The 26,798-nt window shown below is 36.5% G+C and overlaps 1 protein-coding gene across 4 annotated transcripts in view; it reads right to left on the reverse strand.

The window, feature by feature from the left end:
• The window catches only part of HELQ (helicase, POLQ like), a 48,538-nt gene that overhangs the window by 11,019 nt on the left and 10,721 nt on the right, over positions 1-26,798 (reverse strand). For 2 of the 4 annotated variants that reach the window (NM_001297755.2, NM_133636.5), the window contains 10 exons: positions 25,153-25,250; positions 22,941-23,039; positions 21,499-21,644; positions 18,494-18,733; positions 13,762-13,903; positions 13,300-13,404; positions 11,160-11,382; positions 9,199-9,356; positions 7,630-7,728; positions 3,199-3,372 (listed from right to left, as the gene is read on the reverse strand). In NM_001297755.2, the coding sequence (NP_001284684.2) occupies positions 3,199-3,372; positions 7,630-7,728; positions 9,199-9,356; positions 11,160-11,382; positions 13,300-13,404; positions 13,762-13,903; positions 18,494-18,733; positions 21,499-21,644; positions 22,941-23,039; positions 25,153-25,250 (1,484 nt within the window). Of the gene's footprint in view, positions 1-3,198; positions 3,373-7,629; positions 7,729-9,198; positions 9,357-11,159; positions 11,383-13,299; positions 13,405-13,761; positions 13,904-18,493; positions 18,734-21,498; positions 21,645-22,940; positions 23,040-25,139; positions 25,251-26,798 lie in introns of all 4 variants that reach the window. The other 2 variants (NM_001297756.2, NM_001297757.2) reach the window with 2 other exon arrangements.

Raw genomic sequence — 26,798 nt, forward strand, 5'->3', positions numbered from 1 at the left:
GAAACATGGGGAGGACCCTGAGGAATTTGAGGAACTGGTTTTAGGATGAGGAAAAGATTGAAAATTGAAAAATAAGTCAATAAAAAGAGTTCTGGTCATTTTAATCAAAATACCTGGAAGAAAATGCATAGTTTTTCTTTCCCAAGTGACTAAAAACAATTCCTACATCTGGAATTTATCTGGAAGATGAATATTAAATATGGAAATATTCAAATGTAACATGATGTTCAATGCAACAATACAATAATAAAAATACTGGAAGCCATGAGTCAATAACTGTTAAAGCTAGAAGGGTAAATGGGAATTCAATATAATATTTTGTCATAGATATTTGCAATATTCTATTATAGTAGTTTATTTTATTTTAAAGTTCCCTTTCTAGCCTTTGGATATCACTGTGAATGTACATGATGAATGGAACAGCATTAGCTAGCCATCTTGTGACTACTAAGAAAGAAATCAACGTAATGAAGATGGCAGAGTAAAAAGAAGAAAACCTTGAACAGAACTATTGAATCAATCAATCCTGAAGCTGCCTTAGTTCTGGCATGCCTGTTATATAAAATAATTATTTTTTCTTATTGTTTAAACCTTGATGGGTTTTTCTGTAACTTGTAGTTAAAAGCATCTTAACTAACACAATTAATGTACCATTTCATACCATTTATAACTTTTTAAAATAAAAAATACCTTAAAACAAGCTTGTCCAACCTGTGGCCCACAGGCCACATGCGGCCCAGGATGGCTTTGAATGTCACCCAAAACAAATTGGTAAACTTTCTTACAACACCATGAGATTTTTTTTTTTTTTTTTTTCTAGCTCATAAGCTATTGTTAGTGTATTTTATGTGTGGCTCAAGACGATTCTTCTTCCAATGTGGCCCAGGGAAGCCAAAAGATTGAACACCCCTGCCTTGAAATATTGAAAGTAGACCAGGTGTGGTGGCTCATGCCTGTAATCCCAGCACTCTGGGAGGCCAAGGTGGGAGGACTGCTTGAGTCCAGGAGTTTGAGGCCAGCCTGGGCAACACAGCAAGATCCCTGCCTCTATTGATAATAATTTGAAAAATTATATACATGTAATATATATCATATAATTATATATTTATATTATATGTAATTATATAATTATGATATATATAAATGAAGTAAATTAATTAGAGTACAAATTGTCAGCTAGATTTTTCTTAGGATTAGTCATCAAATTATTGCTGTTTTTCTTGATGCTTCATAGAGTTTTTTACTTAAACAATTCTATAAGGCTCAAGTCCTCATAGTCGCAATGAAAACAAAGGGAAAAAATATTAGGGAAAGCATCTTTAAATATACAAAACAACAAATATAGAAGACTTAAGAAAATACATTTTAAAGGCTAGCTTCTTCTTATTACCCATAATTTTTGTCTTCTGTTTAACTAGCATGTGCTCAGGGGGTATAAACCAACATTTAAAAATCAGCACAAGTAAAAGATATTTAGAAAGCTAAATTTGTTAAAATAATTATCATTCAATTGAAAGCCAAGTATTTTTGAATTATTTACTCCTTTCATTAGCACATATGATAGAATTAATTGCCATATACATATACAGAATATGAAGGTTTAAGAAAGGGAAAATGAAGTAAATTTTAAATTTAGAAAACAATTCATGGGAAAAAAGTTTTAGAAAATTGACTTGGAAACAAATATGGAAAGGATTATTATGCCACCCAATAAGAAGAAATCTAAATGCAGCAAAAATGGCTTATATTATAAACACATAAAAAAAGTATCTGGATGTAAAAGCCTGGTAAGCTTTATTGTGCTATTTAAAGGAATTCTGAAAGCTTATTTTAATAAAGTCTTAAATCCATCACAAATGCATATGACCAGTATAAGGTTTCCTTCTTAAATTGTTCTATAAAATACACATTTGATGTAAAAGCTTTAAATAGCTGCCTGACACTGGAAGCAAATATACTAAATTACAGTGGCAATCAAGAGAATATGGGCCAGGCGTGGCGGCTCATGCCTGTAATCCCAGCACTTTGGAAGGGCAACCTGGAGGATCGCTTCAGCCTGAAGTTCAAGACCAGGCTGGGCATCATAGTGAGACCCCCCACCCCCGCCCACCCTTTGCACAAAAAAAATTTAAAAAATTGGTTGGGCGCTGTGGCTCATGCCTGTAATCCCAACACTTTGCGAAGCCCAGGCAGGTGGATCACTTGAGGTCCGGAGTTCGAGATCAGCCTGGCCAATATGGTGAAACCCTATCTCTACTAAAAATACATAAGTTAACTGGGAGTGGTGTTGTGTGACTATAATCCCAGCTACTCTAGAGGTTGAGGCAGGAGAATTGCATGAACTCGGGAGGCGGGGGTTGCAGTTAGCTAAGATTGCGCCACTGTACTCCAGCCTGAGACTCCATCTCAAAAAAACAAAAAAAATTAGCCAGGTGTGGTGGCACATGTCTGTGATCCCAGCTACTCAGGAGGCTGAGGCAGAAGGACTGCCTGAGCTCTGGAGGTCAAAGCTGCAGTGAGCCTGGATTACACCACTACACTCCAGCCTGGGCGTCAGAGTGAGACCCAAGTAGCTGGGACCACAGGCGTGTGCCACCACGCCTGGCTAATTTTTCTTATTTTTTGTAGAGATGGAGTTTTCCCACATTGCTCAAGCAGCTGATCTCGAACTCCTGGGCTCAAGTGATCCACCTGCCTCAGCCTCCCAAAGTGCTAGGATTACAGGCGGGAGCCATGGCATCCAGTCAAAATTAAATTTTTTTAAAAAGAGAATATGGTACTAAATAGTCACATGGTAGCTGTTGGATATAGGTAACTTTCTAACCAAACACCTGACATTTTTATTACTCAGGTGAAAGACATTCACATGGAATCTACATCAATAGGTTGTTTTTAACAGTTAATTCTGAATACCTGAAACTATTAATGGTGGCTTTAAGAGTTGGGTCAAAAAGACACTTTTCATTATGTGTTTTAGTTGACTCAGGAATTTTTGTATTGTTACCATAAGTACATAATAGTAGTTTCATAAACAGATAAAAACAAACGTACATTTTAAATAGTTTTTTAGTGCTCTGTAATAACAGAATATGTCAACAAGGAGAAAATGCTGACATACTGACTAACTGGCTTATTAGTTTAGTAACAGTTAAAACCAGAAGATGCACAAAGTACATATCATATATTCAATGAAATTACCTCACAGAAATGTAACACACAAGATGAGAATGAGGCAGTTCCAGTGAGAAGATTTTGTATATATCCTCGAGGCATATTAAATTTTTCAGATACAGTCCAAATGTTGGTCTCTTTGAGCAAGGTATAAAGAACAAAAGACAGATATAGCCTGTTGACAACGTTCTTGTCCACCTTCTAGAAAGACACAATCAAATAAATTCGTTTACTAGACCTGCTAAAAATGTATGTTATTAAAATTGGACAAAAGGAAAACTGAAGTTGTATTACAGAATAGCAAGGATAGAATAATTCCATAGAAACAAAACTAATTTCTAACAGATGTACTTCAGATTAATTAAAATTTATTATCATTTTTCCAACTACAATAAAAAGATAAGGCCAGGCAGAGTGGCTCATGCCTGTAATCCCAGCACTTTGGGAGGCTGTGGCAGATGGATCACAAGAGCCCAGGAGTTTGAGATCAGCCTGGACAACGTGGCAAAACTCCGTCTCCACAAAAAAACAAACAAAAAACGTGGCCGGGTGTGGTGGCGCGCACCTGTAGTCCTGGCTACTTGGGAGGCTGAGGGATCACTTGAGCCCAGGAGACAGAGGTTGCAGGGAGCCGAGATAGCACCACTGCACTCAGCCTGGGAGACAGAGTGAGACCCTGTCTCAAAAAAATAAAAATAAAAATAAATAAAAGTTAAAAGATAAACCAAATTATTTCCAATCTAAATTAAACTTCCTTCTACAGGGAAGGAATTGTACCCCCTCTCCATCACTCCACAAAAAGAAATGTACAAATCCTAACCCCTGGTACCTGTGAATGTGATCTTACTTGGAAACAAGATATTTGCAGATACAATCAGTTAAGGATCTCTAGGTGAAATCACCCTGGATTTACAGTAGGCTCTAAATTCAATGATTAGTGTCCTTATAAGAGGAGAAGACACAGAGAGACACAGAGAAGGCAGCAATGTGAAGATGGAGGCTGAGATTGGAGGGATGCATCTATAAGCCAAGGAACACCAAGGACTGCCAGTAACCATCAGAAGCTAGGAAAGAGGCACGGATGGCTTTTTCCTCAGAGGCTCCTGAAGGAATCAACATTGCTAATACCTTGATTTTGGACTTTTGGTCTCCTGAACTGTGGGAGAATAAATTTCTGTTGTTTTAAGCCACCCATTTGTGGTAATTTGTTATGGCGGTTGTAGAAAATGAATACAGGAAAGGAAGGAATTGGTGAGAGAGACTTTTACAGTTAGTTGGTATTTGTAAATTGTGTACGTATGTGATTATTATTATAAATTAGACAAATGTACTTTAGATAAATATGTTAATAAGCTTGTCTATATTATAAACTAAGAGTAAATATTAGATCCTATGATTTCCACATGGTCCAAGCTAAAACACCTGAAAGAGATTGAAAAATGCTTCCTGTAGTTGATGATTTCGATTCTGTATACCTGCTTTGGCCTGTGGTGCCTGATGACCACATTTGTGCATAAAGGATTTCATAGCTAGCTTAGAAACTAATCAATTCTTAAAATTGAGGGCAAAAAGATGAACTTAAAAAAGAAAAAGTAGGTATAAAAAATAAAATAGAGGTTGGGAGTGGTAGCTCACACCTGTAATCCCAGCACTTTGGAAGGCTGAGGCAGGAGGATCTCTTAAGTTCAGGAGTTCAAGACCAGCTTGGGCAACATGGTGAAAACCTGTCTCTATTTTAAAAAAAACTGTAAAATAATAAAAAATAAAATAAAATATAAAATTATATCCTCCACCATAGTAAAAGAATGAAATGAGAACTTACGGTGACAAATTGAAGGATGTATGAGTTACATATTCTGCATGTTGATACTGGATCACTTTTTTAAAAGCATTAAGCTGAAAAAGTATGACAGCTGAACATCAAGTAGGAAAAGAGAGCTATTTAATTTCCCAATTTTAGTGCATCTTCAGTACTAACTATAAATTGAGTCAATGTAGGTTTTTTCTTAGAATGTATTTCCTAAGCCAAGAAAAATGATATAATTATTATATGGCAAAATACAATGCTTTATGCCAATGTCAAGATCTTTTGTGGCAGGGCACGGTGGCTCACGCTTGTAATCCCAGCACTTTTGGAGGTTGAGGTAGGCGTATCACCTGAGGTCAGGAGTTTAAGATCAGCCTGGCCAACATGGTGAAACTCCATCTCTACTAAAAATACAAAAATTAGCTGTATATGATGGCGGGCACCTGCAATCCCAGCTACTTGGGAGGCTAAGGCAGGAAAATCACTTGAACTTGGGAGGCGGAGGTTGCAGTGAGCTGAGATCGTGCCATTGCACTGCAGCCTGGAGCCTGGGCGACAAGAGCGAGACTCTGTATCAAAAAAAAAAAAAATCTTTTGCAAGAAATCAAGAATGTTCAAAAAAGGTCAGGTGGGGGGCCTCTTTTTCAATGTGGAGAAATCAATTAGATTTTAAGTATTTAAATATGTTCTCCAGAGTTTTAAAAAATTATACCTCCAAAACATTAAACTAGTAATTAATCCATTTGTAATTAAGATAAGTTCATGTCCATACTATTTTAAATATGTATCAATTTGGCAAATATTTGTTGACTATATTACATTAAATGTAACAAAAATAAATTCTGGATTCAAGCTTAAAAAGATATATTATTCTAATAAGATTTTTGCATGTTTATTATTATTTGATAATTAGTTCCAAATTAATGATATTGTTTTTATTTTACATTTCAGAGTTTGATATAAAAGGTTTGTTTTAAGAAATATTTTTATTCAGCATTTTGAAGGTCTAAACAGCATAGCCATTTCCAAAGTAAAAGACCCAATCTAAAAATTGTGATAACATGAATGCTTAAGTACTACAGATACTTTTATTTTTATTTTTGAGACAGGGTCTCACTATGTTGCCCATGCTATCCTGAAACTCCTGAGTACAAGCAAATCCTTTGCCTCAGCTTCCTGAGAAGCTAGGAGTACAGGTGTGTGCCACTGTGCTGGGCTCATGGAATTTTTTTTTGAGACAGAGTCTTGCTCTGTCACCCAAGCTGGAGTGCAGTGGTGTGATCTCAGCTTACTGCAACCTCTGCCTCCCAGATCACGTGAGTCTCCTGCCTCAGCCTCCTGAGTAGCTGGGATTACAGGTGCCCACCACCACACATAGCTAATTTTTGTATTTTTAGTGGAGATAGGGTTTCACCATGTTGGTCAGGCTGGTCTTGAACTCCTGACCTCATGGTCGCCCACCTCGGCCTCCCAAAGTGCTGGGATTACAGGCATGAGCCACTGTGCCGGGCCCAATATTTTTGATTTTATGACACAGTGATGCATGGGACACTGCACCATCAATTTAAGTGTATGTAAACATCATCTTCCATTTTACAAAATGAAATCTGTACTGTCTATGTAAATTTAAAAGGTATAGAGGAGGTTGGGTGTGGTGGCTCCCAACCTGAGAGCCACCTGTAATCCCAATGCTTTGGGAGAACGAGGCGGGTGGATCACCTGAGGTCAGGAGTTTGAGACCAGCCTGGCCAACATGGTGAAACCCTGTCTCTCCTAAAAATACAAAAATTAGCTAGGCGTGGTGGCAGGCGCCTGTAATCCCAGTGACTCAGGAGGCTGAGGCAGGAGAATTGCTTGAACCTGGAAGGTGGAGGTGTCAGTGACCCAAGATCATGCCACTGCATTCCAGCCTGGGCGACAGAGTGAGACTGCACCTCAAAAAAAAAAAAAAAAAAGGTGTGGGGGAAAATGGAAGGTAACTAGGTTTCAATGTAAATTGGATTGCCAAATAAAATTTAAAATGAAAAAAAAAAGTGTATTACAAGGGGGAAAATAACATTCTCTTAAGGAAATCGAAGGTATGGTTATGAAAGAATTACTTCAATTTCTCTTAAAGTTAGTGTATGCATTTGATAACTTGCTTCATGCCTGCAGACTGAATTTTAAAACACCAAAATATATCACACCAACGAGTATTAGCTTATCCCCTTTAACCTTCTAAAATGCTTTATGTAATATAAGTACTAGACTAGGAGTTCTTTGAGGATGACAAAAGCAGTAACAAAAAACCCAGACCTGTCCTATCTTAGAATCCTTGATACCAAATAGAAAGCCTAATATAGTTTCTAGAAAATGTATTTCCTCGTTTGAATTGAACTTATATCAGGATTGTGTAATATTATGAAAACATTTCATGCTACCCAAAAAAAGGTCATCACACTACCCAGAAATAAATGTTGTTTAAAAATATTCATACATTTTGGGTGCTCAGGTATGTTTTAAGTAGTAAAATGAACGTTATACTAATTTAAAGGAAAAAATGTAAACCAAAAAAGATCAATATAATGGTACTAATTTTGTTGAGTGAACTTAGTGAGTGAACTAAGTGTTGAGTGAACTTATTATTTAGGAAGAAAAAAAGAATGTGGTACCTTTCCGATGGCTTGGCCTGATGCTTTCTTCCCAATAAAGCTTTCAGAGACTCCAAGAATGGCAGCTACATTTTGTTCTGCTGGACTGAGTTGGCTAAACTACATGGAAAAAGAGCAAATAGATGGAAACATCAAAAAATCTGTCATGTGAACCAAATCCAGTATTTCTTTTGATATCACATTCTCATGATTCAGGATACAAAAAACAAGATAAATATATTTGTAAATGTTGCAGGTTTTAAAGTTACATCATTAGGATATAACAAGGATATAACACACTTTAGAATTACTTAAAGGCATAGCCACAAGTACTGGTTTCCATGGACTATATGACTATATTTAATACCAGATGGCTGAGGGGAAGGAGAAGGAAAGGTTTGAGAGTAATTGCATTATATAGTGCTACTTAAAAAAAACTTACTTCCTGAGTAATGTAAACTCAGGAAGTTGAGAAGAGATGGAGAAAAGAAAAAAAAACAGTAATGATTTAAAAATATGACATTAAAAAGAAAGCTAATTTCCTGTGATTAAAAGATGTATACTACCTCTGTCTAATATACGTTTTTGTTTCTGTTTTTGTTTTTTTTTTTGAGACAGTCTCATTCTGTCACCCAGGCTGGAGTGCAGTGGCATGATCTCAGCTTACTGCAACCTCCGCCTCCTGGGTTCAAGCGATTCTACTGCCTCAGCCTCCTGAGTAGCTGGGACTACTGGTGTGCGCCACCATGACCAACTAATTTCTGTATTCTTTTAGAAGAGACGGGGTTTCACCGTGTTGCCCAGGCTGGTCTCAAACTCCAGACCTCAAGTGATCCTCCCACCTTGGCCTCCCAAAGTGCTGGGATTACAGGCATGAGCCACCACATGCAGCCCTAATATACATTTATACAGCTAGCCTGTTCACAGTAAAATCATAATATACTGTATGTTACCACTTGGCTTTATAATAAGTATGGACAGTTCTACTTTGTGATGGGTTGTAAAATAAATATTCCTTTTCAGTTATTAACGTCATTGGGTTTAATGTATTATCATACTTGGCTCTGACCGAGCTTTCATGTAATTAAACTCTAAATCATCAGAGATGGTTTTCACTGTTTTCTTTGCATTCTAGGCATTATCAAATGCAGTGATCATAACAGTAACTTTCTGTGGGGAAATAGGACCACGGATAATCTTTTTTTCTTTTTTTTAACCTTTACTTTTTTCAATAACAAATATGTTTATATTTAAGAGAAAAGTAACATTAAAGTTAAACGAACCATAAATGCTGTTGCCAGATTATAATTTTTAAAAACTGAAAGAAAAAAATATCCAATTCCAAATATATTTTAATAGAGAAAAAAAGTGAATAATCACTTCATAAAAAGCATATAATAGGCCGGGTACAGTGGCTTACACTTGTAATCCTAGCACTTTGGGAGGACAATGTGGGAAGACTGCTTGAGCCTAGGAGTTTGAGACCAGCCTGGGCAACATGGCAAAGCCTCATCTCTAAAAAACAAAACAAAACAGCATGTAATAATTCATAAACGAAGTAGCCTAAGTTGAAAAACGTTATATTCTCACCTGCCTGAAGTATATCATCCAATCAGGGTTACACTGTGAAACCAGATCATAGGGGGTTGTTAGGTAGATTAGATGAAGAAGGCTTTCAAGCACAAGTCCTTCAAGACCTTTCTTCAAGTCTCTGTACAGAATGTCACAATAAGCTAAATCTATAGTTCCTAAAAGAAAGATACAAATATTCAATCTTTCACAATTACCAGAGGGGCAAAGAGATGGCTTTAAATATTGTGTAGAAATTGCTTAAATATAGCAAAAAGTCTTCAAAATCTCTTATAACATCTTACTATATAACTATTTTGGAGGTCATTTTGATAGTACTCATCAACACTTTATAAGTACATACCTTCTGAACCAACTATTTTGGGGAATCTAATCCAGAGAAACATTTCCATATGTACCCCAAAATACATAGAGATGTCCATGCGCCTTGTTTATAACAGAGAAAAATAAAAAAGAATGCAAGTGTCCATCAACATCGAATGGTTAAATAAATTATGGTACATCCATACTATAGATGACTGTAGTATTAAAAGAAAAATGAGATAGATTTAAAGAGACTCATCTGTTAAGATGTTCATGATATCTTATGAGAAATGTAATTTGGAAAAAAATATTTAAATGATCATTCCATTTGAAAAATAAATACACACATAAAAATATTTGGAAGAATACATATCAAACTGGTAGTAGTAGCTCCTGAAATGGGACAGGAATATGGCACTTTCCTTAACATAATTCTGAGTTCTTAGGTTTTTTTTTTTTAACAACAGACATGTATTATTTTTCATTAAAAAAAAGCCTCAGCCTGGGCACCATCGTGAAACCCCATCTCCACTAAAAATACAAAAATTAGTCAGGCATGGTGACATGCCCCTGTAGTCCCAGCTACTTGCGGGGCTGAGGTGGGAGAATCATTTGAGCCCAGGAGACGAAGGTTGCAGCGAGCTGAGATTGCGCCACTGCATTTTGGCCTCGGCAGCAGAGCAAGACCCTGTCAAAAACAAGCAAACAAACAAACCAACCAAAACAACCCCCACAACACTTTATTCACTGTCATGAAACAATCTCTAAGACATTATATTCAGGAAAAAAAGCAAGTTGCAGGCCAAATGTGTTGTCTCATGCCTGTAATCTCAGCACTTTGGGAGGCAGGAGGATTACTTTAGGTGAGAAGTTTGAGACCACCCTGGCAAACATAGCGAGATTTTGCCTCCATATTTAAAAAAAGAAAAAAAATTTTTTTAATTTATAAAAAGTTTCAGAATAATATAAATGATTATTTGTTTAAAGACAAAAACTTAAAACTGTACATATGTACATATTATGCACTGAAATGAAATGTACAGTAAAGGTCTGGAAAGATATACACCAAATTGTTATTCTTGGTAGAATATTAAGATTTGTATGGTTGCTAGGAGGGAAGCATGAAGGAGGGATGCCTACCTTATTCTCTATATACTTCTGCAGTACTTATAATTCAAAACATTTTTCAACTTTTGAAAGTTGAAGGAGTTATCAGCTTATAAAATAAGATTAATGTAATTAATATAAAATTATAAATACAACTTAAAGAAAGTATAATTTTTTATTTTTTTATTTTTGAGATGGAGTCTCGGCTCTGTTGCCCAGCCTGGAGTGCAGTGGTGTGATCTCGACTCACTGCAACCTCTGCCTCCCAGGTTCAAACAATTCCTGTGCCTCAGCCTCCCGAGTAGCTGGGACTACAGGCATGTATCACCATGCCTGGCTAATTTTTTTTGTATTTTAGTAGAGACAGGGTTTTACTATATTGGCCAGGCTGGTCTCAAACTCCCAACCTCAAGTGATCCGCTCCCCTTGGCCTCCCAGAGTGTTGGGATTACAGGCGTGAGCCACTGTGCCCAGCTTAAAGAAAGTATAATTTAATTTTCATTTTTTCCAATGTGTTTCCTATGATCAATAAGATTTAGGTAAACTCTTACCCTTAAATGAAGCACGTCCCAACTTTGTAATATGAAAATTATATTGGACCTCTTCTTCAGACTTATAAATAGTGTCTTTTTGTAGGAGTCCTTTTTCTGTCAGGTATCTAAGTGATTCAACAGTTATTTCCCAGAGACTTTTTTCTTTCAATAAAACCTTTTGCTGAACACCAAAAAATGTACCATTCATGAAATGATAGATGTCATCAAGATTCGTTGCAATCTGAAACAATTCAGGATATCATTGGAGCATTTTCCTTAATTCAAGGCATCACCTTGAATGCATATTAATCAAGATAACTCATTTCCATACCTCAAAGCTATTTAAATAAAAAATTAGTATTAAATCTACACAGTTGCATATATAAATTTATAATGGCAATTAAAAATTAACAAAAAATTTAGGGGGATGATAGTTATTATATTCATGCTTTTTATGAAAACATGTACTCATTTTTCATTCCAAAACTCCTTTGGATAGATCTTTAAATAATTTTTCACAATATCTCCAGAACTGTGCTATTTACTCCCCAACCAATTTTCACTAATTCTCACTCAGCCTCCTTTAGGGATCTTCCCTGCACTGCATTCCACCCAACTGTAAAAACATCCTTTAGCTCTAAAAGTTGCATTAAAAAAAAAAAAAGGAAAATACAACAGTTTCTGGGTGCAGCACACCAACATGGCACATGTATACATATGTAACAAACCTGCACATTGTGCACATGTACCCTAGAACTTAAAGTATAATAAAAAAAAAACAAAAAACAAAATAAATTAAAAAAAGAACTGAAAAAAAAAATACAAGTTTCCACTAAAACAGCGTCAGACAATATTTTGCCTAAAATGTTACCTAAAAATAGTTGATCTCTACCTATTTTTGTCTCTCTCATTCCTATCTCCATTTCTTGTTCTTTCACTGTTATTCACTATTTATAACTTACAATGGCAATCATAAGGAATACTTAACCCTCCATTTAGTATTCAGATGTAGAGCTGACTCTGAATTAGAATAATTTTTATTAGCCAATTTCAATGAAATCAGCATGTTATACTAAAATATAGTCAATCAATAAGTATATTTCTCTCTCTTACAATTCTGATGCTATTTCAACTGGAAAATTTAAGTCGTAATTTCATATTAAACCAATATAAGGGGTAAGAAAAATATAATGGAGCACAGACATTTTCTATTGCTTCTTCCCACTTTAATAAAAATCATTATTAATATAGTATTCAATTAAGCTAAAATTATACTTTTAAGATATTTAAGAACTGATACTTGGTTTTTGGATTATTAATGTACTTTGTTTTTGTACTGTTTCCTACCTAAATGATTAGAGTTAACACTGGGGGTGGAAGAGTGCAGGGGGGCAGGGGAACCTTTACTTGATCCCTCTATCTACCATCATGTTATCTTTCTATTCCTCCCTGAAAAAGTTTTTGACATAGTAATTGAAACCCACTGGGCCAGCCTCTGCTTCTGGCTTCTCAAATCCAGATTCTCCACTGATGCCCCAACTTGGAAGTTCACCCACGCTCAGTTCCAAAGTTAATTTCATCACCATGTCCCAGATTAAAGAAAAAACAAACAAACAAACAAACAAAACAGGCCAGGCGCAGTGGCTCATGCCTATAATCCTAGCACTTTGGGAGGCTAAGGTGGGAGGACTGTTGAGGACAAGAGTTCAAGACCAATCTAACCAACATAGCAAGACCCCATCTCTAAGAAAAAAAAAAGCCAATTTCATTAATTCAAGTATTTATTAAGTGCCAACCACTTGCCAAGCATTAGGATTCAGTGATCTTTTTTTTTTTGAGATGGGGTCTTGCTATGTTGCCCAGGCTGGTCTTGAACTCCTGGGCTCAAACGATCCTCCTGTCTCAGCCTCCCTAAGAGGTGGGATCACAGGTGTGAGCTACTGCACCTAACCATTCCATGATCTTTTAAAAATTATTTACATTAATCACTGAAGGGGATGAGAAAACAAAATTAAAAAGAAAAAAATTAAAAGAAAAAATTATTAAATAAAAAATTAGTATAAAATCTACACAGTTGCATATATAAAGTTATTGCATAACTTTTTAACCTCTATTGTCTCAGATAACAGTAATAAGATAAAAAATTTAAGAAAAATACCTTCAAACCAATCAAAGAGAGAAATAATGTTTGGATTCCCTTGGTGAATTCCTGAACAAGATGGCTGTAACAGTTTTCCAATGGTTTAGTTATTAACTCCAATACCTATAAAGGTTAAAGCAAAACCATGCCTTGTGTTATTATTAAAAATAAATGGTATTTAATATAAATATTTTATACTTTACATAAATCTTGTGGAGCCAGAAGGAGACCAAAAAAGTAAAGACAAAAGAATTTAACATTTATCTTCATTAAAAATGGAAGAAAAACAAATAGGAAAAATATTTTTTCATTGTCTGAAATACATACATTTTCAAACCACTCTAATTCTTAATCATATAGGAAAGAAAGCATCATTTAAAGAAAATTAATAATTAATTTTTAAAAGATGATTTCATAAAAGGGCTAGACCAACAACCAAGAAAAAGACAAAAACAACCAACCAACCAAATTGAGTATTACCTGTTGTTTGTCTTTTTCTTGCAATATGAGGATACTCTCCCCAATAGTATCTATTCCAGCACGACCAGCTCTGCCAATCATCTGTTTATATTGATTCCTCTTTAAAAATTCCTTAGCAACATAGGGAGCTCTTAAAATAACTCTGTGGAATTAATGAAAAATGATACTCTACAGCAAACAGCACCAATTTAAAAAATTCTTAATTTCATTATATATTTGTGATATTAAATTTAATGACATACTAACACAAAATAATAGGTAACTAGTGTTTACCAAGAATCTATGATTTCTTAGGTTTTTACACATATTATCTATAATTCTTACAAAACTCTTAGTTATAATATACTTTTTTATTTCATTTTTATAAAGGAATTAATTACAACTCAGTTAACTGACTTATCCTAAACTAAAAAATTAGTAATTACCAGAGCTATCATTTGAACTCAAGTCTGCCCAGCTGCAATGCCTATGATCAATCTGTAGCAGTAGTCTCCAAAGCGTTTGGACTTTATACTCCATAAATAAAAAATATGACCATACACCACTAACATATACATATCTATTTATGAATTTTTATTATTTTGAACTGTATAAAATTGCAGATGTCAACTGTTTTTGACCTACAAAAATGGTGATTTCAGCCAGGCTCAGTGGCTCATGCCTGTAATCCCAGCACTTTGGAGGGCTGATGTGGGAGGTTTGCTTGAGTCCAGGAGTTTGAGACCAGCTTGGGCAATATAGTGAGATGCAGTCTCTACAAAAACAACAACAACAACAACAAAAAACTGGCTGGGCATGGTAGTGTGCCCCTGTAGTCCCAGATACTTGGGAGGCTAAGGTGGGAGGATCACTTGAGCCTAGGAGGTTGAGGCTGCAGTAAATCGTGATTACATCACTGCACTCCAGCCTGGGCAACAGAGTGAAACCCCATCTCTTAAAAAAAAAAAGCAATTTCAATTATGTTCATATATACAGAAGTCTATAGTCAGTTAGTCAGCTTTCTTATCCAAAGGGAAGAAAAAACCTATTGTTTACCTATACTAGTCAACTTCCTCTTTATTTATAAATCTCATATGCAGAAAAGATTACCAAATACTTGAAGAAAACTAATAACATAAAAGAAACATAACATGAATATACAGAATAAGTGACCACAAAACCAGATAATATAGGGATCAGAAGAGAACTTTTAAAAATCCTAATTAGCATTAACAGAAAATTCCAAAGAGTATTATATCCACAATATAAGAGTAGACTATTGGCGGGGCGTGGTGGCTCACGCCTGTAATCCCAGCACTTTGAGAGGCTGAGGGGGGCGGATCACGAGGTCAGGAGATGGAGACCATCCTGGCTAACACAGTGAAACCCCGTCTCTACTAAAAATAAAAAAATTAGCTGGTCGTGGTGGCAGGCGCCTGTAGTCCCAGCTACTCAGGAGGCTGAGGCAGGAGACTGGTGTGAACCCAGGAGGCGGAGCTTGCAGTGAGCGGAGATTGCGCCACTGCACTCCAGCCTGGGTGACAGAGCGAGACTCCGTCTCAAAAAAAAAAAAAAAAAAAAAAGGAGTAGACTATTGGCCGTGTGTGGTAGCTCATGCCTGTAAATCCCAGCACTTTGGAAGGCGAAGGCAGGAGGATCACGAGGTCAATAGATTAAGACCACCCTGGCCAACATGGTGAAACCCCGTCTCTACTAAAAACACAAAAACTAAAAAACATTGTGTTGTGTGCCTGTAATCCCAGCTACTTGGGAGGCTGAGGCAGGAGAATCACTTGAACCCGGGAGGCAGAGGTTGCAGTGAGCAGATATCATGCCACTGCACTCCAACCTGGAGACAAAGCGAGACTCTGTCTCAAAAAAAAAAAAAAAAGGAGTAGACTATTATAAGGAAAGAACAACAAAAGAGAGTTCTTAGAAATAAAAAAAAATTAACTTTATTTAAAAATTCATAAAAAATTTGAAGGGCCAGGTGTGGTGGCTCACACCTGTCAATCTAGCACTTCGGGAGGCCACGGTGGGCAGATCACCTGAGGTCAGGAGTTTGAGACCAGCCTGGCCAACATGGCGAAACCCCGACTCTACTAAAAATATAAAAATTAGCCAGGTGTGGTGGTGGGCGCCTGTAATCCCAGCTACTTGGGAGGCTGAGGCAGGAGAATCGCTTGAACCCAGGAGACAGAGGTTGCAGTGAGCCGAGACCGCACCACTGCACTCCAGCCTGGCCACTGGGCAACAGAGTAAGACTCTGTCTCACAAAAAAGAAAATTCAATTGAAGAACTGAATAATGAATGAAAATAGTTAATGGATACAGTTAATGTAGTTAATGGATATCAGTTAAAAACTCATTTTTTTTTTTGAGACAGGGTCTCACTGTTGCCCAGGCTGGAGTGCAGTGGTACAATCATAGCTAACTGCAGCCTCGATGTCCTGGGCTCAAGCAATCTTCCCACCTCAGCCTCTCGAGCAGCTGGGATCACAAGTGTATGCCACCATGCCCAGCTAAGTTTTTAATTTTTTAGTAGAGATGAGGTCTTGCTATGTTGTCCAGACTGGTCTCAAACTCCTGGGCTCAAGCAATCCTCCTACCTTTGCCTCCCAAAGTGCTGGGATTACAAAAAAACTGATTTTTTGATATGGAAGGTAAAGTTGAAAAAAATTACATGGCACAAACGTGTGCTTACATTCTTCCACATTCTGAAAAATGTGTAAGAAAAGAGATACGAAAGCTGAATCTAAGAGGCCTCAACCCTGCCTAAGTGAAATTATAAAAGCAAGGAACAGAGATAATGGGAAGAAAAAGAAATAACAGAAAAAAAATTACTCAAAGAAGAAAGGCATAAAGCTTAGATTAAAAGCATCCACCCAAGTGCTAAGCCCTATGAATGAAAAGTAGTACTGTTGGGATTGTAAAATCAAACTTCCTGGGTTCAAACACTGGCTTTAAAACTCATTTGTTGGAAAATGAGTTGGGAAAAAGTTATGTAACTTTTTAAAGTTGGGAAAATTATTTAATTATTTAGTGCCTCAGTTTCCCCTTCTATAATAGGTGTGTAATAAAATATGACCTTCCTCACAGAGTTATTGTGAAGCTGTATCAAGTCAATGCATGTAAAGTTGTTACTACATGAAAGGGAGGGGAATGTAGTAATTACAACTATTATTATACACCATGACAAAATTGGGAGGTTAAAGAGAAAAGTCTAAAAGTTTCTGGAAAAGAAAAACAGAAAATCCATGCAGAGACAAAAATGAGCAACATTGGCCTCTAGAAAATATGGAACAATATTTACAAAATCCCTAAAGGAAAAAAATTGAATCTAGAATTCTTTTGCTAGTGAAGTGTAAAAGTGTGAGGCCAAAATACAGATATCTTCAACTATGCAAAGAGTCAAAATGTTTTACCCCCTAAAGCGGTATTCTAAAAAGGATTACTCAAGGAAGGCAAAATTAAAAAAAAAAAAATCAGAGAAGAAAGATGTGGGATATAAGAGGCAGTGGTAAGCAAAAAAGAAGTATGATTTACAGGTAAGTTTAAATACTACATAAGATGAAAGAAAATGTTTAAATCTGGCACTAAAATTCTAAGTAATTGCAACATTCATGGGGCAGAGTAGAATATACTAAGGACATGCTAAGCCTCTTTTTATGTTCAGGAGAGGACAGTTATTGATTAATTCTAAAGTAATAAAAAATGTTTGGTTACAACTTAAAATTTTAAGAGTAACCACTGGAATAATAGAAACAGGATATATAACTTTCATTTTTTTCTTCAATTGTCTGAAAAATGGAAAACTTAATGAGAGACAGAAATTGAAAATAAAAGAATGGAAAAAGGTACATACGTGGCAAAAAAAAAAAATGAGTCCTGGTATTCAAAGCAAAATTATTAAATGAGAAAAACAAGTATTTATTGTATTGATAAAAGGTATAATTCGGCAATAAGATATTTGAAGTAAACCTTTGTATATCTAAATAGTTTTGAAATATAAAAAGTAATAACTTCTAGAGATGCAAAAAGGAGAAACTGATAACTACATAATTAAAGTGGGAGACTAACACACTTCTCTGAAATTGATAGACCAAGGAATCAAATATAGTAAGAAAATAGAGAAGCCGATAACACAATGAACCTCTGTGATCTCGCTGAGATGTACAAAACTGCATATTCAACTGAAAATACATATTTTTTTAAACACTCATGGAAAGTTTATAAAAATTGATCATTTATTAGCAAAATACCCCATGATCATAAATTATAAAGGGGAGAAGTCAATTACACAGGCCTACACCTTTGGTAATAACTGGAAAGGTAATCAAGGGCCTGCTTTAAAATACATATATTAGACACAAATTGCCTATGGATCAGCTCTCCAAGATTTCAAGGAAATCTCTATGTTAAATAAACTCTTTCATATCATAAAAAAGGTAAAACACTTGCCAACTATTTCTACAAAACCAGATTAATAGACCCTAACATCAAAACCAGATATAAAGAGCAGAAAGGATGGAATTCTAATATCAAGAAATCTATTAACGTTATTTTTCATTACATATTTCATTACATATTCATTAAAATATTAAAGAAAATAAACCAACCAATCAACTCAGCATATGCTAAAAGAACATTTGATAAATTCTCATCCACTACTGAGAAAGCATAAAACAACAAAACTCCTCGCAAGCTAGAAATGGAAAAGTTCTGAGCCTGGTCAACACTTACTTATCTCTTACCTTCGAGCTGGTAGGTTGACACCTGCCGCTAGGGTAGATGTGCAGGTAAAAAGACAGAGCACTCCTGTGGAGTAGGCCTCCTCCAAGAGTTTCCTTTCATCACTTGTTAAGCCACTGTGGTGATAGGCAACTCCAAATGGGATAGTGCGCTTTAAAACAGGACACAGGTTGCCATTGCCAATATTCTTCAAGTTCTTAATCACCTCACATTTTTCTTTCTCCTTATGTTTCAGATATTCCCTATGAAAAAGATCTGTTAGAAATATGAGCCCTTGATCTTTTAGTGACAAAATTTCTACCATTTTCATTTTAGTAGATGCTAATGTAAACATTCTTTAATGTACTATTTCCATTGAGTTAAGTACATTAAATGTTCTTAGAATTTTGATTCTGACTTCATTAACTATTAGGCAGTCTCTCAATCTTTTTGTGGATTACAGAACCCTGTGAAAATCTTATCAAAACTAAGGAAAGGCGAAATGCGATGGCTCATGCCTGTAATCTCAGCACTTTGGGAGGTAGAGGCAGAAGGATTGCTTGAGCCCAAGAGTTCAAGATCAGCTTGGGCAGTGAAGCAAGACCACCTCTACAAAAAATAACAAAAATTAGCCGGGCATGGTGGTGCATGCACCTGCAGTTCCAGGCTATGGGGGAGGATGAGGTGGGATGATTGCTTGAACCCGGGAGTTTGAGGTTGCAATGAGCTATGAACCTACCAGCCTGGGTGAAAGAGCAAAGCCTTGTCTAAAAAAAAAAAAAAAAAAAAGGAAAAATATAACTATTTACATAAATACAACACTTTACATATAATTTCAGAGGGTTCGTGGATTTCCTAAAATTCATTCCTGTACTTCCTTTGAATCCATGGACACCAGGTTTAGACCTTTGCTCTGGATGTTATAACTGTTTTTTTCTTTATAACATATATCTTTATAGGGGATAGTTTTTTTAAAGACATAAATTTTCTTTTCTGAAGATGGAAACATACATATTATTAAATCATACTTCCATGGTAAAACACTGCCTAAACACTTGCACTTTAGAAACTTCACATCCTACAATGTTTCCATCACTTAGCCAGTGTCTCCATCTTATTACCTTGAATTACTCTAAGAAAATGAATGATTTACTGAGAATTTTTTTAATGATAATTTAATTTCCTTAAGCTTTTATAATCAAAATCATTGTAAAAGCAGACTGTTACCAAAATGAGCAACTCCTTCATCTTATTCCAAACATTTTTATATTTTGCTATTCAATAAATTTAAGTCTATCTTAGACCAATCCATGATAGTAGGATTGAAAGAGGAGGTAGAGGTTGACTAGATTAGCATTCAGGTTAATAGACTATGAATAGTGATACAGCATTAGCTAAGGGGCTGAAAGAAATCTCAGAAAATGATAAAACCACACATGGGACAAACAGGTGTATAAAAAACTGAACTGTTAGTAGTTAAAGTAACTTCATACTTATCTCTATGAATACGACAGAGCCAATATTAAGATACTACAAAATTATAAGACAACACATTTCTTACTCAGGAAATTATATCCAAATGTCCATACAACTAAGTGTGAAGTTTACTAAGAAAACAAAGGCAGGCCAGGCGCAGTGGCTCACGCCTGTAATTCCAGCACTTTGGGAGGCTATGGGGGGCGGATTGCTTGAGCTCAGGAGTTCGAAACCAGCCTGGGCAACATGGTGAAATACTATCTCCATGAAAATTACAAAAAATTAGTTGGGAGTGGTGGTGTGTGCCTGTAGTCCCAGCTACTTGGGAGGCTGAGGTAGGAGGATCACTTGAGCCCAGGAGACAGAGGCTGCAGTGAGCTAGCTGAATTTGTGCTACTGCATTCCAGCATAGGTGACAGAGTGAGACCCTGTCTCAGGAAAAAAAAAAAAAAAAAAGGAAAAGAGAAAAAAAGGCAATGGAAGATACAATTCATTTCCACAGTGGTAACAGTGATTAGTCCTTTGACTGACTAAGCCAGTTGTTCCTGTCCTTGGCTATATGTTGGACTTGCCTGGGGAGCTTTACAAAATGATATCTGGGTGTCACTCCCAGAGATTCTGATTTGTCTAAGATGTAGCCTGGACTTTGGAATTTTTAAAAGCCTCCAAGATGATTCACTATGCACCCAAGGTTTTGAATCACTGACCTAATATTACTTAACATTCTCATACATATAGTCTTAGGGTTTTGTCTTTTTTTTTTCCTTTTCTTTTTGAGACTGAGTCTCCCTCTGTCACCCAGGCTGGAGTGCAATGGTGTGGTCTCAGCTCACTGCAACCTCTGCCTCCCAGGTTCAAGTGATTCTCCCGCCTTAGCCTCCCGAGTAGCTAGGACTACAGGTGCACGCCACCACACCCAGCTAATTTGGTATTTTCAGTAGAGACAGGATTTCACTATGTTGGCCAGGCTGGTCTTGAACTCCTGACCTCATGATCCGCACACCTTGGCTTCCCAAAGTGCTGGGATTACAGGCATGAGCCACCGTGCCTGGTCTTCTTTTTTTTTTTTGATGGAGTCTCGCTGTGTCACGCAGGCTGGAGTGCAGTAGTGCGATCTCAGCTAACTGCAACCTCCGCCTCCCGGGTCCAACAGATTCTCATGTCTCAGCCTCCCCAGTAGCTGGGATTATAGGTGCAAGGCACCACACCCAGCTAATTTTTTGTATTTTTAGTAGAGATGGGGTTTCACCGTGTTGGCCAGGCTCGTCTCAAACTCCTGACCTCAAGTGATCCACCCACCTCGGCCTCCCAAAGTGCTGGGATTACAGGCATGAGCCATGGTGCCCAGCCACCTTAGAATGTTTCTCTGGCTATTTCACATGTGATTTTTCACAGTTAAAATTTCTTTCTTCAAGGTCAAGGCCTTCAGTATACTAAAACAACTTAATATGATGTTTTGCAAGGCATAATTAGTGTTTGCCCAATAAAATTAATACATAGTCTGTAATTCCTAATAAAAATAAAACAGGCTATTTAAAAAATATTAACATACTTGCTTAAAAATTTGCATATCATTTCTGCTACATTTTCACAGTTCTTCTTACTAGGACAAAAAACTAAGCAGGAATAATTGGGAATAACTTCTGTCACCAATGCTACCAAGTGATCAGGATCCATCTTTTTTAGGGTATCAGAATACTGCAAAACAACAAGATGTAGGAACAAAGTGGTTAGTAAACATGAAACCCTGTCAATTTTTTACCAGTGTGATTTGAAAGGTAAATAAACCATCTATAATTCTAAACTTCTAATTTAATAAATCTGATCATTTAAAAGAAAAGATGAAATCTATATTAAACATCAAAATGTTCAATCTCACTTTTCTTTTAGGTTATTATGATTTTCTTAGGTCTAGTTAGTCTAAAAAAAAACCTAGAATTAAACAAGTGAATTAAAGAAAATTAAAGAAGTGAAAATAGTTAATGTTATTAATAGCCTCACTACATGCCCATCTCCACCACAGCAGAACAAAAAAGTCCACAGAGAGAAACACAGATTGATCCTAATAATAGTTAACGGACTGTGTAAATAAGACATGCCCTTTACAACCATTAAGTTTTCAAAAACACAGATTCAATCATACTACTGAATTATGACAATTTTTGTAGTCACATGAGGAACACAAAGAACATGAAGAAAAAATGTGAAGTTATTTAAAATCTATTTCTTCAACTTTACTAAAGACATAGCTGTAGAATAACACATCTTCACAGAATTCTAAAACTACTGTATAATCCCTTCTTCCCCTTTTTAATATCCTTCATACAAGTCATAAAACACTAAAATTTACATAGTAGACATTAACATTTTATACACCAATATCTGAACTACATGGTCCATAAATTATTCTTTTGTTGTTGTTGTTGTATGAATAAACATTTACAGGAGAGTTTTCCAAATTTTCTTTGTTCACAGCCCCAGGGCCCAAAGAAATACTTTACAGTTTTGTTAATTAAATAGTGAGGTCCAAACAACTTAATAAATACGTACTTCCTCACAATTTAGTAGCTGTTAGAATAAATAATACACATCAGTTGAGTGAAAAAATATTTTTATTTCATTCTTAAATAACCACAACAGCTCACTAATGGGATGTGTGCACAACTTGGTACTGTCTTTCAAAATCTGAAATAAGACTGGACACAGCTATTCTCTTCTGTTCCAGATTGATTTTCACACGGTACTTGCTTACAGCAACTGTAAAAACCCCAACTTCACAAAGATATGATGTCATAGAAAAGAATATGGTGTGATCTAATGTTGAAACTGGAAACGAGCTATCTTGAACTGGCAGTCTGCATGGTGTCCAACAAATGTCAAGCATCAGCTGTTTCTCTGAAAAATCTAGACTATTCTACGGAATCCATTGGAAACTCTTGTTGTGCCCCAGACACAAAGTCTGGTAACCTGGAATTTAAATGTTATCAATGTTACCTTATAATTAAGAAGACGTGAAAAAGTCATGCCATTCTCAGCTTTGCTGTCAACTTCATATATTGTATCATTTATTTTCAGATATTCTTTTAACTCAACCTTGAATTAAAAGGACATTTGCAATTAATACGACATATAAATTCATCTTTCCAGTGTTTTAAATATTGTAAAATAGGTTAAGAAAGGACAGCTATAAAAGAGTTTAGCTTTTCTAAGATACATAAAACATGCTTCAACTTAAAAGTTCTTGCTTTACCATTTCTTCTTCTTCTGTTTTGGTCTCTTTTTCCCTTAAAATCAAAATAGAGATCAATATCCTTGAAGAAATATGTTTGAATTCAGTAAACATCATATCCAAAAAAGAAACCACACACTTCTGTATTTGTCACAAAAAGTGTGAGTCTTGGTGTTCTTAACTTTTACTAAGGTATCATCTGTTTTATGTCTCAAGATCTAAAACTTTGTCTTTTTTTTTTTTTTTTTTTTGAGACAGGGTCTCACTCTATCACCCAGGCTTGGAGTGCAGTAGCATGATCACAGCCCACTGCAGCCTCAACCTCCAGGGCTCATGCTATCCTCCTACCTCAGCCTCCTGAGTAGCTGGGATGACAGGCATGCGCTACCACGCCAGGCTAATTTTTATAGAGATGGGGTTCCTCTATGTTGCTGAGGCTGGTCTTGAACTCCTGGGCTCAAGCGATCCTCTTGCCACAGCCTCTCAAAGTGCTAGGATTACATGCATGAGCCACCGTGTCCAGCCAAAACTTTCTGTCTTATTATTCATCAGTTTTAATTCTAAATACCACCACACTATTTTTCTTTATTTGTCGACAAAAACAGTTTGTAAACACAGCTCATTGCATTTTATAATAACAATAACAATGTCTACTGTGGCAATTAAGTTAAAAAATATCTCTTGAAAATGTTCCTATCTGGTTCAAATGTAAAAACATCAATTTTTTTTTTTTTTTTTTTTTTTTTGAGACAGGGTCTCACTCTGTAGTCCAGGCTGGGGTGTAGCGGCACAAACACAGCTTACTGTATCCTCAACCTTCTGGGCTTAAGTGATCCTCCCATCTCACCCTCTCAAGTAGCTGGGACTATATGTGAGTGCTAATATGCTCTAATTTTTTTTTTCTCTCTCTTGCAAGGCTGGAGTGCAGTGGCGCAATCTCGGCTTGCTGCAACCTTCGCCCCACTGGGTTCAAGCGATTCTCCTGCCTCAGCCTCCAGAGTAGCTGGGACTACAGGCGTGCGTCACCATGCCCTGCTAATTTTTGTATTTTTTAGTAGAGTCGGGGTTTCACCATGTTGGCCAGGATGGTCTCGATCTCTTGACCTCGTGATCTGCCCACCTCGGCCTCCCAAAGTGCTGGGATTACAGGTGTGAGCCACCGCGCCTGGCTGCCCTAATTTTTTAATTTTTTGTAGAGACAGGGGTCTCGCCATGTTGCCCAGGCTGGTCTTGAACTCCTGGACTCAAGCAATTCTCATGCCCCGGCCTCTTAAAGTGTTGGCATTGCAGGTGTGAGCCACTGCACCCAGCTAAAACATCAAATTTCAAATTAAAATTTGGCAATTAAAAAAATATTTTCTGAAAACCTATTTAGACACTGAAAAACTATTGAGGCACAAAACATACACACTAGTAGTGCACACAAAAATATATATACATTACAAGCTATTTTCAAATAACCACAAATTACATTTGTTTACTTTCTTCAAGCATTTTGGGAATGCTGCTGTTGAGGAGTTTATATGTAAATCCATGTGAAGCCTTAACTTATTAAAAAAGTATTATAACTACTAACATATAAATATTTAAAAATATTTTAAATTTTAAGATATATTTTTTAATGTGCCAATAACTCAAAACATGTCTCACTAAAATTTTGCCAAATAAAAAAATTTAGTTTACAGAATAAGAAGTGAAAAAATAAAATGGGGGTTTGGGAAAACTCATTCAATGAACGTTCATTGACAGCCTGTGGGCCAGGCTATAGATACATTAGTGACCCAACCCAAGATCCCTGACCTATACACAAACTCTTAAATTCTCTATACACAACCTCTTATTAGCATATAGTCATGGTGAGTAAAATATGCCCCTTCACTACTCTACAGAATTCTTTAAATCCTATGTTTACTACTTTCATTTCTAAGTTAGATGAATACGAAACAAATCAATACAGTGCAAACCTTAGGTACATACTGGTCTAAATTGACTGGTATAATATTCTGCTTGAAGAAACTTTTGTAGGTCTTCAACATTGTTTAATGTTGCACTCATACCAATAATTTGAGTCGTTTCTAAAACACAAACAAACAAAAGCCAAAGTGTTAAGGAAAATATGTTATTTAATATATCATAAAGTAATTTTAGCAAGTCTTTTGTGCTCTGAATTCTTCCTGAGTGATTTGGGAAAGGGGTGGGAGAGGTAAGTAAGAAAAATACAAATAGCTGGGTGCCTGGCTCACATCTGTAATCTCAACACTTTCGGAGGCTGAGGTGGGAAGATCGCTTGAGGGCAGGACTTCAACACTAGCCTGGGCAACATAGTAAGACCTCATCTCTACAAAAAAATTAAAAATTACCTGGGCATGGTAGTGCACGCCTGTAGTCCCAGCTACTTAGGAGGCTGAGGTGGGAGGATCGCTTGAGCCCAGGAAGTCAAGGCTGCAGTGAGCCATGATTGTGTCACTGCACTGCAGCTTGGGCAACAGTGAGACCTGACCTCTTAAAAAAAGAAAACTACAAATATATTACCAGAGTATTAATCTGGCATTTGAAGAATGAAATTTTTCAGGTATCCTGAAAGTTACTACTTAGAAGTTTACAGAGTTTCAAACTTGGCAAGAACTAGGATATTAAGGCTTCTAAACAATAATAAATGAGTATAAATCTGCTTATAACTGTCTATCTGGATCCCCTTTACGAAGAGCTATGATATGTTCCACAGGTATGGCTATAGACAGATGTAGAGGTAGTAGGATAGAGGGCTAAATGCGTCTCGAACTCTTGGCCCATGAAAAGTCCTCTATGAGATCTTGCTATCAAGCTAACTTTTAATTTTATTTATTTATTTATTTTTTTGAGACAGAGTCTTGCTCTGTTGCCCAGGCTGGAGTGCAGTGGCATGATCTCGGCTCACTGCAACCTCCACCTCCTGGGTTCAAGCAGTTCTCCTTGCCCCAACCTCCCGAGTAGTTGGGACTATAGTTTTTGTTGATGTTGTTTTAAATAAAGGTGGAGTGAAGCTTATGAAGCCATATGACATCCTGGGCAATACAAAATGGCTGCTTTCTATAGACTTAACTATTGAATGAAAACCCAAATAGGCCTTCTTTGCAAATGTTTCTTCATTGCTCCTATGTCTTGAAATGATCATTCAAGAAACTCACTGAAAGAGGAATAAGTGGGAGTATCCTTCTCATTCCATAAGGATAGACTACAAAGCTGAAGAGGTGGGCATGGGGTCAAATCAAGAAAGGCTGTGCTAAGAAATTAGGGATTTATGCAGAAAGCAAAGGGGAGCTATTAAAGAATGGTAAACAGTAAAATAAACTAATTGGATTTGCATTTGGGAAAGATCATTCTTCTTGCGCTAAAGAAAGATGGATTTGGTGGATGAAGGGCAGTGGGTACACAGAAGAACTTGGTGATTTCTGTGGCAATCCAGGTAGAAAGGATGAGGTACTGAACTAAAGACTTAGTGGTAATGAGGGATAGGAGAGACAGAAGTAACAATATATTTATGAGGTAAACCAGATAGGATTTGGTTGCTGATAGAATATGTAGGACCCTGGCTTGGCTGGCTGGAGAGTGGTGGCTGAGAATTCAGGCTGAAGAACGGCTTT

Source organism: Homo sapiens, chromosome 4 (assembly GCF_000001405.40).
Source record: "Homo sapiens chromosome 4, GRCh38.p14 Primary Assembly".
Lineage (NCBI taxonomy): Eukaryota > Metazoa > Chordata > Mammalia > Primates > Hominidae > Homo > Homo sapiens.